Genomic DNA, 16,435 nt, shown 5'->3' with positions numbered 1-16,435 from the left:
GGGGTGATAAATGAGAATGAACTAAGCAGGTGTGATGGCATCTGCACAGAAATCAACAGTGAGTATTTAAAATGTTTATAGTAATTGGACAGTAACTTTATTTCTGTTGAATGTAATAATAAAAGATAGGGGCGGGGCGTAGTGGCTCACGCCGGTAATCCCAGCACTTTGGGAGGCCCAGGCAGGTGGATCACCTGAGGTCAGGAGTTTGAGACCAGCCTGGCCAACATGGTGAAACCCCATCTCTACTTAAAAAAACAAAAAAACAAAAACAAAACCACACACACACACAAATTTGCTGGGTGTGATGGTGTGCACCTGCAATCCCAGCTACTCAGGAGGCTGAGGCAGGAGAATCTCTTGAACCTGGGAGGTGGAGGTTGCAGTGAGCCGATATCATGCCACTGCACTTCAGCCTGGGCAACAGGAGTGAAACTCCATCTCAAAAAAAAAAAAAAATAGGGCTAGTATTTTGTATGTCTATTTTTAATATAACTTTTCTAGTAATTTGCTCTAACTATAGTTTACGAAGGTTATTGATCTGTAACAGATCAGAAATTTTAACAACTGGATTTGCTCCATCCAGTTTAAAAACTAGATGTTTTGTGAAGCCCTGGTGCGGAGACCAGTTACTGTGGGCTTTCAGAGGAGCCTGAACTGTCACCAGATTGAGATGAGCAGGAGAGGCTTGATGGAACAGGTGGCACCTGAATTGGGCAGAAAAAGAAGAGCACGATTCCAGTTCCCTGTGAACCCAGGGTTATCCATTAGAACCTGGGACAGTTTTGAGGCTCGGCTGTGGCCTAGAAACAGGGATAAAATCCCCGGTTGTCCTTGGAAGTCAGGGGCACCTGCTAGCTCTTTATTTTAGGTAAAGGCATTTATTTGCTTTTTTCACCTCAGGAGAAGGCTCTGATGAGCAAGGGTGTTGGCTCCCAGCCAAAGCAGTAATCATCTGAACTTTTTACAAAAACACTCCAAAGGAAGCAGTTGCCTGGCTAAACAATAGCATGTTTTAAAAATAAACATCTGAGGGCAAAAGACTCCTCCTAGAGCTCTCTGATTAAGCAACCACCCACTGAGAACAAAGCTTTCGTGACAATCTCTCCACATTGCTGTTAAGGTATCAAAATTCAACCCCTTATTGGAAGTTCTTTTAGGTCTGACATTTGGTGGTGTTATGCCATTATAAGTGGACACCACATCCAAGAAACTCATTGTTGCATAGGAGTTAAAACTCGCCATGTGGATGACTCCTGTCTCTGTCACCGGCAGAGAGGCCACCTGTGCAGAGAGAAGGCATGGGCTTTGGTGGGACAGACTGGGCTCAAATCCCAGCCTCCTCCCAGACTCAGCTTCTCCATCTATAAATTGGAGGATCTGAAATGCCTCTATCGCCTTTAGGTTAATTGTGAGGAACAAAGTGAACAACCTCAGCTTGCGTAGCTGTTGTGAGGATTAGAAATAATGTCTATAACAGGCCTAGTACAGTGCCCAGAACACAGTGTGTTCTTAGTAAATAGCCTGCATGATTACTGAATAAATGATAAAGATGATGTGCATCACTGAGCAGATGGAAGGTATTCAACAAGCATTAACTGATTCATTCATTCCCTCCCTCATTCATTCCTTCATTACACGGTCACTAAAGAGATCCTTTAAAAACATAAATCAGGTGATTTTATACATCAGGATAACCCTTCAATGGCACTGAAGATAAAAAGAAAAAATCCTTACCTTGGCCAACAGGCCTTGCAGGGGAGGCACCTGCCTGCCTCTCCAGCCCCTCTTTGTGCCATCTTCCTGTCTCATCCCCTCCTCCAGCCTCTTCTGGAACAGACCAAGCTCCTTCCCACCCCAAGGCCTTTGCACAGGCTCTTCCCTCTGCCTGGAGTGCTCTTCCTCACTCTTCATTTGGCTTTTAAGTCCTTTCCTCAGAATCCTTCCCTGATTATCCACCCTAAACCAGGGTGTCCTGATTTCCTTGCTTGGCATCCTGTGCATATCATATCTCAACAATTTTTATCATTGGTTCATTATTTTATATCTCTTTCTTGCTAGGTTTTAAGCTCCATGAAGGCAGGAGACCTAGCTATCTGCTTGTTCACGAATGTATACTCAGTGCCCAGCACATAGGAGATGCTCAGTAAACATGCTGATTGAATGACTAACAGGTATTTAAGTATGGCTGACTGCCCTGGATCCCTCTCCCAGGCTCTGGCCCCTTGGCAGCAGAGTGTTGCCAGAACAAAACTTGCCAGTTCCAGCTGCTGCCCTTATGATCTGTGTGATCTTGAAAAAGTGGCTTAATCTGTCTTCAACCTCCTGTTTCCTTATCTCTAAAGATGGAGTTAAGGTCCCACCTACTTGATGACTTCATAGGGCTGCTATGAGGATTAAATAAACAGGTTCATGATTTTTAAATTCCAAAATGTTTCTTTTATTCCCCAGAGAAAACAAGGCAGGATATGATCTTACTTTGTTAATCCAGGGCATAGGGAAATCTCTGCAGCCTTGATTAGTACTCCCTGGATGTTCAAAGGGAAAGGAAGAGGCAAAGAGGAGCATGCAAAATCTTTCTGTGCATGCATCACCTATGACATCTACTTTTCTTAGAGACATGAAGAACTCTCTTAAAATAGGTAATATCACCACTCTAGGCTATTTGGTGATGTTAACAAAATAAACTGGTCCTTGAGCAGAATCAGCTAAAGGTCCCCTTGAAGCCTCTGTCAGCTGGTCCACATTTGAAGTTCAAAACATGCATCAAGAAGCAGTGGGCTCTCCAGGTGCAGTGGTTCATGCCTGTAATCCCAGCACTTTGGGAGGCTGAGGCAAGTGGATCACTTGAGGTCAGGAGTTCAAGACCAGCCTGGCCAACATGGTGTAACCTCATCTCTACTAAAAATACAAAAATTAGCCGGTGGTGGTGGCACACACCTATAGTCCCAGCTACTTGGGAGGCTGAGGCAGGAGAATCGCTTGAACCCAGGAGGTGGAGGTTGCAAGTGAGCTGAGATCGCACCACTGCACTCCAGCCTGGGCAACACAGTGAGACTCTGTCAAAAAAAAAAAAAAAAAAAAAGAAGCGGTGGGCTGTGTCCTGGTTTCAGCAGTCCAGGAGCTGTTTTAACATTTTTTTCATTACTATGGAACACGGTGGTATTTGTAGTTAGGACCAGTTTTTCAGAAGACTCCATGAACTTTTTGACTCCCTGAACTTATTGTCCAGTAAAAGCATTAAATATACCCCAAAGAATCTGAGGAACTCAACTGTTCTTTTCCAAAGTCCATATGAATGCTCTGACAGCAGCAGCTAGCTAATGGCTCAGTGAGACTTTTCTGGGTTTTTGCCACAACCTAAATATGACTGAGCTGTCTCTTTGCTTCTCTTTATCCATAAAATTGGTATCTCGGACTTCTAGGCAAAAGCTTCTTACATGCTGGTGAACTTTACAAACTGATGGCAGAGCAAGTCTTTTTATATTGTTCTCATTTCCAGAATGAATGCATTCAGTGTGTTCATATCTGCGTAGCTCAATTCTGATATTGGCCCTGTAGATTCTGCTGCCAGTTCAGGTACTTTATAGGAACTTCTGAAGGTCTCAGACAAAAAAGAGTAAGTAAAAAAATTGTATGGCATTCTAGATGTTCTATGAAACATTATTATTATCCATATTTTAAAGCTGAGGACAAGTTAAGTAAAATCCAAGGTTTCACAGCTAATCCATGGCAGAACCAGGATTCAAACCCAGGCAGTGTGGCTCCTGTCTGTACTCTTAACCACTGGACTCTCTTGCCCCTCTAGGATGGATACTTATTCAGGTGTCCCTCTGTAGAGAATGGCACAGGTGGGAGTCACTGCTAGAATTGCTTCCCTCGCCTGCAGGCTCAAGTCCAGTCCCCTTGGCAAGGCACACGAGGCCAGTAAACCCTTGTGCTCCCCCTTTCCATCCCATTCCTCTTGCCCACGTTTCCAGCATCGCACTTCAAGTCTCACTGTCCTCCCAAGATGCTATTTTGGGAGGACAAAGATGCTATTTTCTCTTGCCTGGAATACCCACCCTCTTCCTTTCACTTGATTTCTATGCTTCCTTCAAAATGGCTCCTTCCAATGTCCCCTGCACTGACCTCATTCCCAGAAAGTGCTTATCACACAGCATTGTAATGTACTCTTTCTTGCTGAGATAAGACTTAATTTTACACCTTGTGTGTCTAGCAGAGCCTGGCTCATTAAAGATAGAATGAATAAATAAATAAATGAACGAATGGTCTTCCAGGTCCATGCCTCCAATATATAGAAGGTCCTTAGAATCCCTTTTTAAGTAATCAAATCAGGTTATCTTACAGCTGAACAGAGCTATGAACAAGTCTAATACCTGTTTAGTCAGAAAGAAGGCTCATGCATGGTTGATTCTCTGGGCTTCACTGTCTCAGGAAAGACTAAAGCAGGGCATATTTATCTCTTGCCACTATTCATTTTATTACTTGCAAATGGCATGTTCATTATGGGAGCTCTTCCTTATACACTATGTGGTCGTTTTGTCTTTGGAGGCCAGGCATTTCAGAAATCAAATTGATACAATAAGTCCTTTGGCTTCAACAGCTGTATTCTAACTCAACACAAATTTCTTGATAATCTTAGGGAAAGGAGCACTTAAAGTGCATGAAGAGCCCACTGGTTCCAGATGTTGCAAATGAGGCAAGAAGTTCACTCTCAGACTGTACAGTCTTAGGCAACAAACTTGTCTTCCTGCCTGGAGTTTTAAGTTTATAAACCACCTTGAATGGCAATTTTCATAGAAACTAAACTGTATAATGGACCACCAATGTTTCAAGAAAAGAATGCATACTCCTCCCTCGTAGCTAAAATTGACATTAAATGCTCTTAGCCACCTATGTTTATGAACAGTAGCTTACATTTAATAGCAAGTTGTACAACAAAGTGATATGCGTCTTCAAGTCTTGCAATTCTTGCTAACGAGGGACTCCTGGACCTGACTATCAGATGACCTCAGCTCCATGACCATGTGAGTGGTAGGGCCTCACCCTCTTATACCTGGTTTTCTGTTAGTCTGTTTTCATGCAGCTGGAGTTAACAAATGTTAGCTGAATAAAACTGAACCTTGTCTCGGGGAGGCACGTGGCATGGTTCTTTTCATAGGAGGATGTGGGATTGTTTCCAGATACACAGCTGCCTCTGAGTAAATGAATACATAGCCTTTAAAAAAAAGCCTTCCTCAGCCCCAAAGATTTAAGTGTGTCATCTGCTGTAAAGCCTGAGTTTACAAATAAGGTGCTCTAAAACTATCACCAACTGCACTTTATTCTGCTCACCCTCTATTCTTCAGTCTCTTCAGTGCATTCATACTCCTTGCCTGATGTGGTAGTTTATTTTGTTACCTGGATTCAACCTCAACTAGATTGCATCTGGAGTGTCAGAGTCTAGCTGGGCAGGGGTCAGCTCCTGGCTGGCCTCCTGTTTTTGTAAATGAATGTTTCATTGGCACACAGTCACCCTCAATCATTTACATACGGTCTGTGGCTGCTTTCCCATGACAAACAGAGTTGGGTAGTTGGGCAAAATACACAGGACCTGTAAAACCTAGAATATTTACTATTGGGCCCTTCATAGAAAAATCCTTGCTTGAAAGGCAACCAACTCACATATGCATTCTACATCTGGCTGTTGTTTAATAAATACTGAATATACCTAAGGTTTTATAAGGCTTTAAACTTTTTTACTTGGTTAAAAAGTAGGGCAGGTGTGGTGGCTCATTCCTGTAATCACAGCAGTTTGGGAAGCCAAGGTGGGAGGCTCACTTGAGGCCAGGAGTTTGAGACCAGCCCTGGCAATATATCAAGACCCTATCGCGACAAAAGTAAGAATTAGCCAGGCATGGTGGTGTGGGCCACCCGTAGTCCCAGCCACTAGGAAGGCTTAGGTGGAAGGATGGCTTGAGTCCAGGAGTTCAAGACTACAGTGAGCTATACTGGTACCACTGCATTCCAGCTTGGGCCATAGAATGAGACCCTGTCTTCCCACCCTTTCCCAACAAAAAGTAGTAGAAAACCTCTGATCCTATGGTTGAGGTCAAGCCCTAAAAATTTTGAAATCCTAACATGAAAGCTGGAGTAACAATCATCTAAAAGTCTGGAGCATTTTTTGTTTTTTAAATCTTCCAAGGGTAGAGTGTTAAATTTATCTTTGGAGAAGATCCTCAATTGTAAATCCAGTCACCCAACCAGTGTCTGGTGGAAACTGAAAGTCATTGATAAACAAAACGCAAATATTTTCTCCTGACGTCTAGTGTTTAATAATGTGACTTGTCCAGGAAGCAGAATCAGTACTAGGACTCACACTCAGTGGCCTGGGGGAGAGAGGAGGGAAAGGAGGGAGTTTTCTTGGCTTGATATCTGCTTGGCTTGACATCCACTGAGCTGCAAACTGGTGCTGTTTCTTGAGGAGCTGTGTGTGCCCTTGTTTGAGCAGGCGTTTTTAGGAAATCCAGAGCTGCGACATCACAGGAAGGGTTAGGAATGAGCAACTCCTTGCTCTGGAGGAAGAAATGTGCACAGGAACTGGCATGGACTTGGCCCAGCCTGACCTGGACAGACTCCCAGGTTCTACAAGCAGGGTGGTTGCAATAACCCAGCAGGTACTATGGTATGGAGTCTATGGAAGGCTCCTGATGGGGTCCACGAGGAAAGGCTATCCCCCTGTGGCCGTGAGGGGGGTTTTCTCTGAAGTGGATATTCCACAATGGCAAGCATCCCAGGAAGAGGTCACTCCAGGTCAGGACAGGATGGCCTGTGTGATAGCGGAATTTTTCCTTCTTAGAACTTGGTGTCAGGTTCTGGGATCTGGGGTGCAGGAAAGCTTGGAACACCTTTAGAGATGAACTCTAGCCTCCTGGAGGCAAGCAGCTAAGCAGAGGGGCATCCCTGTTAAGAGGCCCTGGGAGCCCCTTCAGGGAGCAGTTGGATGTCACCATTGGTGTTTCATCTGCTTTTGGTTACCTTTAGCAAAGATTATGTCCTGAGTAGAAGTGTGGTCTCAGCTGCACTTTGGAGAATTAAGCTTCTGCTCCTGTCTTAGGATGGAGGAGCAAAGAGCGGAACTCCTTAGGTCACCGGGGTAGTGGCAGCCACAGCAGACACCAGGAGGCGCAGCTGTGCCCACTGGAGTGCTTCTGGCCCAGGCGGGGGTGGCAGAGGCTAAAGTGGAAGAGCTGCAACCTCTTCCTGAGCAAAGTTATGAGCATCCGGGAAGGATGCTCAGGGGACCTCTGGGAGCGGGACTGGAGGTGCTGTTCTGTCCCTGTGTTGGTCATAGGAGGCTCCAATCATCATAGTTTAATTTTGGGAAGTAGTAAAGAAAATGTGACCTGAATTTAAACTCACTGGCTGGACCAGGATTTTTCCAGAGCCACAATTCTCAGGCATATTCATAAGCTATTTCCTGTTATTTCTCTGGTGCTTTGACATAAATACGGCTTACAAGCCTAAATGTTAGCAGATCCCAAACACAGATATTCCTCAGCAGGGCGGGAGCATGTTCTTCACAATGTAATTTATCGGTAGGATTCTATTGGTACCCACAATGATTGTCTCTGAAAATGTCTTGAGTTTATATCAACTGTGCCATTTTTTTTTTCTGTTTTAAAGTAAATTTGAGACATTATGTCATTTCATAACTCCATATGCATTTAAAAAGTAAGGACATTTTCTTATACAACTATATGCCATCATCATCTCTAACAAAATCATTAACAAATTATTGATACCATCTAACAGCCAGTCTATGTTCAAATTTCCCTGGTAAATTTGGCTTCTTAACCTTATCATCACATAAAAAGGGGTTCTTCCTGTTTTTTAAAAAAGCTATAAAGTATTTTTTTAATCTCACCAGAGGCTTTGATGGCAGAATTTTTTTTTCTACCTGTTAATTTGGCAAGAGAGTTTCCTTTATGCAGGAGCACAGATTATTAATCTTGGGTCTGAATTCTAGCTGTGTTTCTGCTTCTAATTTACGTATCCTTAGGGGACTCATTCAACCCTCCTCAGCTTCCCACCTGCATCCTCCTTCGGCCTAATAACTGTATACGTTAAGCTACCAGCCTGCTGGATTCATGAGGGCATTTGCAATGTGAAATGGCCCTTCCTGTGTGTTTTCCACGGCCATCTTCTGGGTAGGGAGGCTGAAGACTACTTCAGGGTCTGGAGGAAGGAGCTGTGTACCAGGTAAAGGTGGCACTGAGCCGGCAGGGGAAGGGAGCAGAGATGAGGCAGAGAAGCGACCAGAGGCAAAATTGGAGGATCTCAGGCCAGACTCCATCCCCATCTCTTTCATTAAAAATACAAACCAAACAAAAACACAGGTTCAGTTGAAAATGTAAAGAAAGCAGAACAGATCATGTTTTCTTACTTTCTGGATGTTAACCTTTTGGTTTTGATCACAACTTTTAAAAATGTATATACATTTTAATAAAATTTGGATTGTATACACTATCCTGTTGTGTAATTTTATTTTCCCACTTTATACTGTATTGGGAATGTTCCCACATGTAATTAAATATGATTCTAAGACAAGTTTTTAATAGTTGCTTAGTATGAAAATTTGTATACTATGTATACATAGTATAAAAGATAAATTTGTATACATATGTATACAATATAAATTTGTATACATTTAGGTTGCTTATAATTTATCACCATTACAAAAAAATGCTACCATGAATATCCTTGTACTTAGGAGTTTGAACATATCTCTGATTATTTCTTTATGATCAATTCTGAGAAACAGAATTACTGGGTGAAGAGATCAGAACATGCTCCAAACTGTTCTCCAGAAAGTTTGTTCCAATTTATTAGGTAACTGAAAGTGTATGAATGAACTTATTTTCCTATAACTGTGCCAACACTAGTCTTGTTGCTTTTCCCTCTAATCTGACAATTTAAAACATGGATATGCCATCATTGTCCCCACCCTGCTTTGTTCATATCCCTTGAATCTTTGACTATTTCATTGCTCCAAATCAAAAGATGGGGTGGTGGTTTTGCTCGCTGCCTCTAGTTCTTGACTGGCTGCTGGGGGTTTGGTGGAGGAAAAGTGGAGAAACTACTTGATCCATGCTATAGCTTCAAAAGTAGCTGGGCTATGTCAGTGGAATGCTGAGTTGTAAATTATTTTCCTAGATTATTTGCAAGGCTGAGCTAACACACAAAACATCCAGACTGCAAAAATCTCACTAGAGGAAGTATCTGTTTCTGGCTTCTGGCCAAAGGCTATACTTCCCAGAAAAAAAACCAAACCAAAACAAAACTCACTTGTTATTGACTGTCAAGAGTGGCATGTATTTTCAAACATCTGATATTACAGAATTAGACATTCATACATGTATTTTTACCTTTTCTTCTAAAACCTGTTTTACCTCGAGTTTTGGGTTTGCTGCATAATTTGGATCAATCTTCTATACTTCCCCTCATAGACACATGAGTTCAATAGTATTGCTCATCAGGTGGTTTATGCACCTTGTGCAATTGCGTGCAAAATATAGTATATATGTACAATTGTGAAGATTTTTCTCGAAAGGAAGTCCAAAGTTTGCATTGTATTCTCAAAGGAGCCCAAGAAAAAATTAGGAATCTTGGGCTGGATGCAGTGGCTCATGCCCATAATCCCAGCACTTTGGGAGGTTGAGGTGGGTGGATTGCTTGAGCCTAGAAATTCAAGACCAGCCTGGGCAACATATCAAGACCCCATGTTTAAAAACATTTTTTTAAAGAATCTTTGATATGGAGAAGATTCTAAGGGATTATAACTGCCATCCTTACGGCGGCCAGGCAGGTAACGTAAGAGTGAAGTGGACAAAGTACTGGGCAATCGGGAGTAGTGGAGACTATGGCATTCTCAAATGCATTTGCTCCAGCTAAATGGAGTAGTTGTCTCTTGGTTTCAGACCACCGTTGATAGGTGGAAATACTGGGCCAGTGTTCCCAGATCTTCATTTTTTTTTTTCAGAGAAAGCCAGCAATTTGGATATTTACATGAAATCTTTCCAATTTTAAATGCTTATGACAATTTAAACAAATAAACAAATATTACATGGGACAAATAATTGGTCTGCGGCTGTGTCAATCAGGTTGCTAGGGTTAAAAGGAACCAGGCATTTCCAAACGTAATTAAATACATTCATAAAAATAATTAAATGTTCTCTTTAGGTTTCTCATAAGCCGAGAACATCAAGACCATTTAAGGACAAAGCTCCCAAGGGACTCTAGTCTAATTCGAGTTTGGCATTTGGGAAATTCAAAGGCCAAATGTGACAGCTCTTCAAGCAATGCAGTCCCTGAATGCAGCAGATCCTGACCCCCACCCTCCCGTGCCCCCACCAACGTCCAGTACTCTACCAGGGCCAGTCCCAGACCTTTACAGTGGCAGTGGAGAAAAATGTTCTAGAAGGGGACATGTCACGACTTCTAATTGCATGTTTACATAAAACCTTGATTTTCAATCTAACACCACCAGCTACTGTCATGCCACATTTTACTAATTGCCAGAGTTAAGTACAAGAAACTGCAATGCAGAGAAACTTATCACAGCCAGACAAATGACATTTTTGTAAACCAAATTCATCTCTATCTACCTAAGGAAGCTTCCTCTTCAAAGGAGCCCTGCAATGTAATGATCAATAAGGGAAAAGTCATTTCCAAATGCAACTGTGTCACAAGTTTTAAAAATACTAGGCTTTTCGAATATGGTGCACTTCCATATTTAAACCCTTCTCACAGAACTTGACTGCTGGTCCCCACAGCAAATATGCAGGGCAGACACATAGCAAGTTCTGGCTTTGAGTAGAAAGTGGGTAAGGAGTGCAGAGACCCTGAAGGCAGCTGCTGAGAGGCTGGGGGCAGCACAGCTGCAGTTGGGAAATAAATGAGTGAATGGCTGAAAACATGATCAAAATTGACAACTATATTTTTCCTGAGGACACTAGCTGACATTTCAGTGACCAAATATGCTTTTTTTTCCCATGCCCCAGATAACGTTTTGTTTATATGTTTGAAAATGACATTTTCCTCCCAAGACATCACATGCTGGTCAAATGAAGATTTGAGCAGTGGTGGACAGAGCTGTAGGCACAGCATATGACAAAGCAATGCCATGTTGAGAACAGTAAAATGTTTCCACAGAAGCAAATATAGACATTCCAAGTGGAGAGAGGTGGAGAGAGAGAGAGAGAGAGAGAGAGAGAGACATCTAATGTATTTCAATTTTTCCCGTAATTAGAAAAGAACAACTTAGGTGAAAGCTTTTTAAATAATCATAGAGAATGACATGGTTAGGCTTTGTGTTCCCACCCAAATCTCATCTTGAATTGTAATCCCCATAATCCCCAGGTGTCAAGGGAGAGACCAGGTGGAGGTAATTGAATCATAGTGGCAGTTTCTCCCATGCTGTTCTCGTGATAGTGAGTGAGTTCTCACGAGATCTTATGGTTTTATAACGGGCTCTTCCTGCTTCGCCCAGCCTTTCTCCTTCCTGCCACCTTGTGAAGGAGGTTGTCTTGCTTCCCCTTTGCCTTCCGCCATGATTGTGAGTTTCCTGAGACCTTCTGAGCCAGGATGAACTGTGAGTCAATTAAACCTCTTTCCTTTATAAATTACCTAGTCTCAGGAAGTTCTTTACAGCAGTATGAAAATGGACTAATATAGAGAACATCTGTTTTCTCAAGGTACCTGTAATCATGCTGGATATAATTAATGGCAAAATGATGAGTTTCAGCATCCGCATTAGAATTTCTCCAGGAAAAGCAAAGTAGAATTTCTCTAGAGTTGAGAGGTTGCTGTGTTCTCGAACCAAGACTCCTGTGGTAATGCCTAAGGAAAACAAGAGTTGGAAAGAAGGAAGAGGAACATTATTGAGTTCTCCTGTATCTATGTCTATGGAAAAATACTCCCAAATGCACATTTTAATGGCAAGAAAAATAGTTTAGATCATTTCCCATGAGTCTGTAAAATCTAGACTGAAATTATATTTTAAAAGACAGTGAACAGAAAGTACACATTATTCAGTAAATCTGTAAAAAGTATTCTATACATGAAAGCTTTGTTGTCATTTCTTCGCTATCAATTACACTTATTATGACAAAATATCAAAGAATACTGTGAGAAAAAAAATCATCTTAGTCAATCCAGTATAACTCTTTTGCATTCACACACCACCTTTTTCTACCTGCAGAGATATTTTACATATTTTATTATTTTTATTGAGACAGGGTCTCACTCTGTCACCCAGCCTAGAGTACAGTGGTACCATCTCGGCTCACTGCAGCCTCAACCTTCCAGGCTCAGTCGATCCTCCCACCTCAGCCTCCCGAGTAGCTAGGACTATATGCGCACCACCATGTCCAGCTAATTTTTGTATTTTTTTCTTGAGAGGGTTTCATTCGGTTGCCCAGGCTGGTCTCGAACTCCTGGCCTCAAGTGATCTGCCCACCTCGACTTCCGAAAGTGCTGGGATTACAGGTGTGAACCACCATGCTTGGCTATTTTACATATTTTATAGTTTACATATCAGTTTGTATTTTTCTCATATTTTTATTATAAGTACTTTTTATGGTATATTTGTATAATCTTTCCTGTTTATGCAACTTTTATAATTTTAATAGGAATATAATAGCCTATTGATTTATTTACCATATTATCAAATGACTGTTCTCTAATGTTTTGCACTCTTTTCAGTTATTTCTAGATAATGATATATTCAGGTTTATCTGATTAAAAGGCTTTTTACAAAGTTTCTGATTTTGAGTACCTTGTACATGAAGTCTTATAATTATGTGAGTGTAGGGACATGTTCACTATTAAGAAATGTTACCATTCTCTGAAAGCTTTTCCTTAACAAGATGCCCATATTGAAATCCTTCAGTTGTATGGATAACACAATTTAATGATGACTTTAATAACTAAAAATCACAAATTTTTATTTCTATTCTCTTCCAAGTATTTCTAATAACATCTAACTGCTTTACCCTTTCCTTCTCCCAATATACACACTCTTATTTTAAGGCAGAAAAATAAATGGGATGACTTTTGCATCTTTTTTCCTTCATCGGCCTCTGTTGGATGTCATGATATTTGGAAGTAAAATGACTAAGTGGCAGAAAGATTCAAGGAGGATATCACTGGTATGTGAACCTAAAAACTCAAGTAATTAGTTTGTGAATACCAAGACTTATTTGGGCACAATTAAAAACTCTAGGGCAATGAAAGAATATGTGAATTATAATCAGTACTAGAATTTTCATTTAAATTCAGGCATCCTTCCCATGCCCACTAGTAGACCAAATAGATGAACCTCACAAGATGCATTTTGTATACTAACCTTATCCTTAGCTTAATTTTATTTCCCTATTCTACCTTTGCCTTGATCTCTATTTTGTGCATGCACTACTGGATGCATTTCTGGTGATTCAGTAGTGTTTACACACTACTGCATTGTGAATACACAATTTTAAATCATTTTTGGAACAAACATATAAACATTTCCCAAATTGTAGCTAAGACAAAGATGAAACAAAACTCTATTATCAATGCTATTTGGTTTCTATTTTACAACCCTAGTGTTAGAGACTCTTGAATGGATAAGAACACCAAGAATTCAAAGTATTTTAAATAAATTTAAAAAGTACGATGTGCTCACTTCCTGCTTTATAAACTGCCTGTGTTCAGCTGTTCTATATGAACATACCTATATTATGCCCTAAGGATACGCTGTAATTCCCAGGACTTTAAAAAACAAATATTCTCTCTCATACTATTCAGGTTGCTTCAAGTAAATTTTTGGCTTGTATGTCAAAGAAAGCTCAGTATGTAAAAAATAAAGATGTGTCTGTACTCAAACACTAGCCACACAAGGACTCTGTTGAATAGCAAGAGAAACCCATGTGCCCCAATCTCAGGGCTTATATTACTAATGATTAACTGTGCCTCTAATTATCTCTATGCTAAATTAATGTAGGGTCATTAGAAAGATATGTACTTGCTATTTTTCAGCCTTTAGCCAGATACAGGATTTTTTTAAAGGGAGAAATAAGAGTTGCCAGGTACAGTAGCTTGAAAGCAATAAAAGGTGACATGTACCCCAAGTAGGTTACTGTATTTGGCAATTACAACTTTCTATCAAGCTTGTTCTTGAAATTGAGTGCCACAAATTGTACTCCAATATTCCTTCCTTCCTTCCTCCCTCCCTCCGTGTCTCTCCCTTTCCTTTTCCCCTCCCCTCTCCTTTCCTTTCTAAAAAGAAGAATAGAAATACCAATCTAGTGCTGGAAATGAAGTTGGGATGTCACACTGAGACCCTCAAATACAAGAAATGGCTAGTGAATGACCTCACCTAGGAGTTATGCCTTGTAAATTGGTGTGCTTTATCTTGGTCTCAAGCAGTTTAGAAACAGCAGATTCGGGATGAGGAAAATCACCAGAAGATTTTCCAGGTCCCAAGAAGAGGTCAGAGTCTCATAGGGCATAACCTTTCTTTACCCATTAACAGAGTCAGAACCTTGGGCTGGATTAAGAATTATGGAGAGGTTCCCAAAGCCAAAGGCTGCTAGGAATAACTGCCCTTCTGGGAGTACGCAGGCCAGGCCCACCTGGTAAGGCCACTCCCAGAACTAAGAAAGGTAAAGATTGTGAAAATAAATAATTGAAAATCTCAGCCGTTGAAACTTTATTTTGAGCCTTAAGGGAATGTGATTATGGAACCTGAGTCACATAAATAGGCAGCTGTAACCTTTGTTTCTCTGATTATAGATTAGCCTTTTCCTTACCTACATTGTTTGGTAAAGTGTTATAAATTACTAAAGGGTGCCAGGGAAGACCCTTTCTCTCTAAGTATGGATCTTCATTATAGACTAGCCTCCCTCTTTCCTCTTTCACACAAAGGCTTCATGGTTATCACACTAACTAGGATGGAATGTTAAATACTTGCTTTTAAATTGGAAAGGAAACGAAAACAAGCTGTATGGAAAAGAAAACAAACGAACTAAATTGTCACTCATAAACCAGGCTTGTATAGAAAATATTATAATCCTACTAAACTTCTTTGTTTGCTGTATAGAAGCAAGTACTTAACTTTTAACTTCGAAGCACTGACCCCATTTCTCTAGAGTCCATGATTCTTGGATGGCTATTCCCAGCTTTTTGCTTGAATAAACTCTTTAAAACTGGATTCTGATCCTTTTGATTATTTCAGGTTGACAAGATCAACAATTTCCCTGAACGGTGTAGCAGGAAGGACTTCAGCAGAGCCAACAAGGAATTCTCAAAAGTAAACTAAGTACCTGGACCCCCAAAGCCCCAGCAATGGACACAGGACACCATTCTTGCGCTTCCTTCCCACCACAGACACAGGTAATTTCAAGCAGATGCTTGGGAAGCTTGGGAAGGACACTGGTATTAGGCAAGCAGGCTCAAGCCTGGTTCCACCAATTGTGAGGTGTGGAACCTGGGCCATAACTTTAACTTCTCCTATTTTCAAGGGTTAGATTAGCTGTCTTCAGAAGTCCCTTCTAATGCCTCTAATCACCTCTGAGCCTTGATGTCCTCAACTTTAAAATGAGATCACATTATCTCATTTCCAAGAAAGCTGCCTGTGCTTTTGAAGCAGGAAATTTCCCTGACACCGTTGCAGGTGGGAACTGCAGTGCACGGGTGCTGGATCTAGCTGGCCGCTTTGTCACTGGCAGGGGCAAACTCCACTCACTTGGACCCGTTGCACTTCACCCCTTGCAGAAGGGAGTCCACAGGTGAGCAGGTACAGGAGCCAGGGTGAGTGCTTCTGGGCATCAGCTGGAGTGAACTCCGTGCAGAGTCCTGAGGCAGTGTCTAGTGGGTGCCCATTACCCCTGAAGGCCCAGAGGGCATGTGTTTTAGTCAGCGCTCTTTTAGCTTTTGCCATCCACGGACGGCTTAAGTGTCAACAGTTCAGTGGGCCCTCTGCCTTTTTGCATGAGACAGTTGCTCTCTACCGAGAGCACAGGGTCAGTGTGACAGCCTTTAGCATCCTCACCCATGGCACCCGAGCTCTTGTTTGGTGTCCAGGAATAATCAGGTCACATGAATGAATTGAAGGGTGGTGAATGTGGAGGATTTTATTGCTGATGAACATGGCTTTCAATGGAGGGGAGCTGAAAAGGGGATGGAGCGGGATAATCTTCCCCCAGAGTCTGGCCATCCCTGGCCAGACTCCTCCCTGAGGTAACACTGTCAAGCCATCCCTTTGAAGTCAAGCTGCTTCTCTCCAATGTCTAGCTGCTTCTCCTCTTCTCCTTTCTCTGCTGTTGGAGACTGGGGTTTTTATGGGCACATGATGGGTGGCAGGAGGGCCATGGGTGGTTTTGGAAAAGGCAACATTTGAGCAGGAAAACAA

The 16,435-nt window shown here is 41.7% G+C and overlaps 1 protein-coding gene across 7 annotated transcripts in view; it reads right to left on the bottom strand.

Annotated features, from left to right (window-relative positions):
- SLC1A1 (solute carrier family 1 member 1) overlaps positions 1-16,435 on the bottom strand; it is a 97,002-nt gene that overhangs the window by 31,020 nt on the left and 49,547 nt on the right. For 6 of the 7 annotated variants that reach the window (XM_011518007.2, XM_017015042.2, NM_004170.6 and 3 more), the window contains one exon: positions 11,743-11,883. The exons of the other annotated variant lie outside the window; for it this stretch is intronic. In XM_011518007.2, coding sequence (XP_011516309.1) covers positions 11,743-11,883 — 141 coding nt within the window. The remainder of the gene's footprint in view (positions 1-11,742; positions 11,884-16,435) is intronic. 7 annotated transcript variants of the gene reach the window in all.

Source organism: Homo sapiens, chromosome 9 (assembly GCF_000001405.40).
Source record: "Homo sapiens chromosome 9, GRCh38.p14 Primary Assembly".
In the NCBI taxonomy this organism is placed as follows: Eukaryota; Metazoa; Chordata; class Mammalia; order Primates; family Hominidae; genus Homo; species Homo sapiens.
Note: the sequence above shows the minus strand (reverse complement) of the source record. Positions and strands in the feature narration are given on the sequence as shown.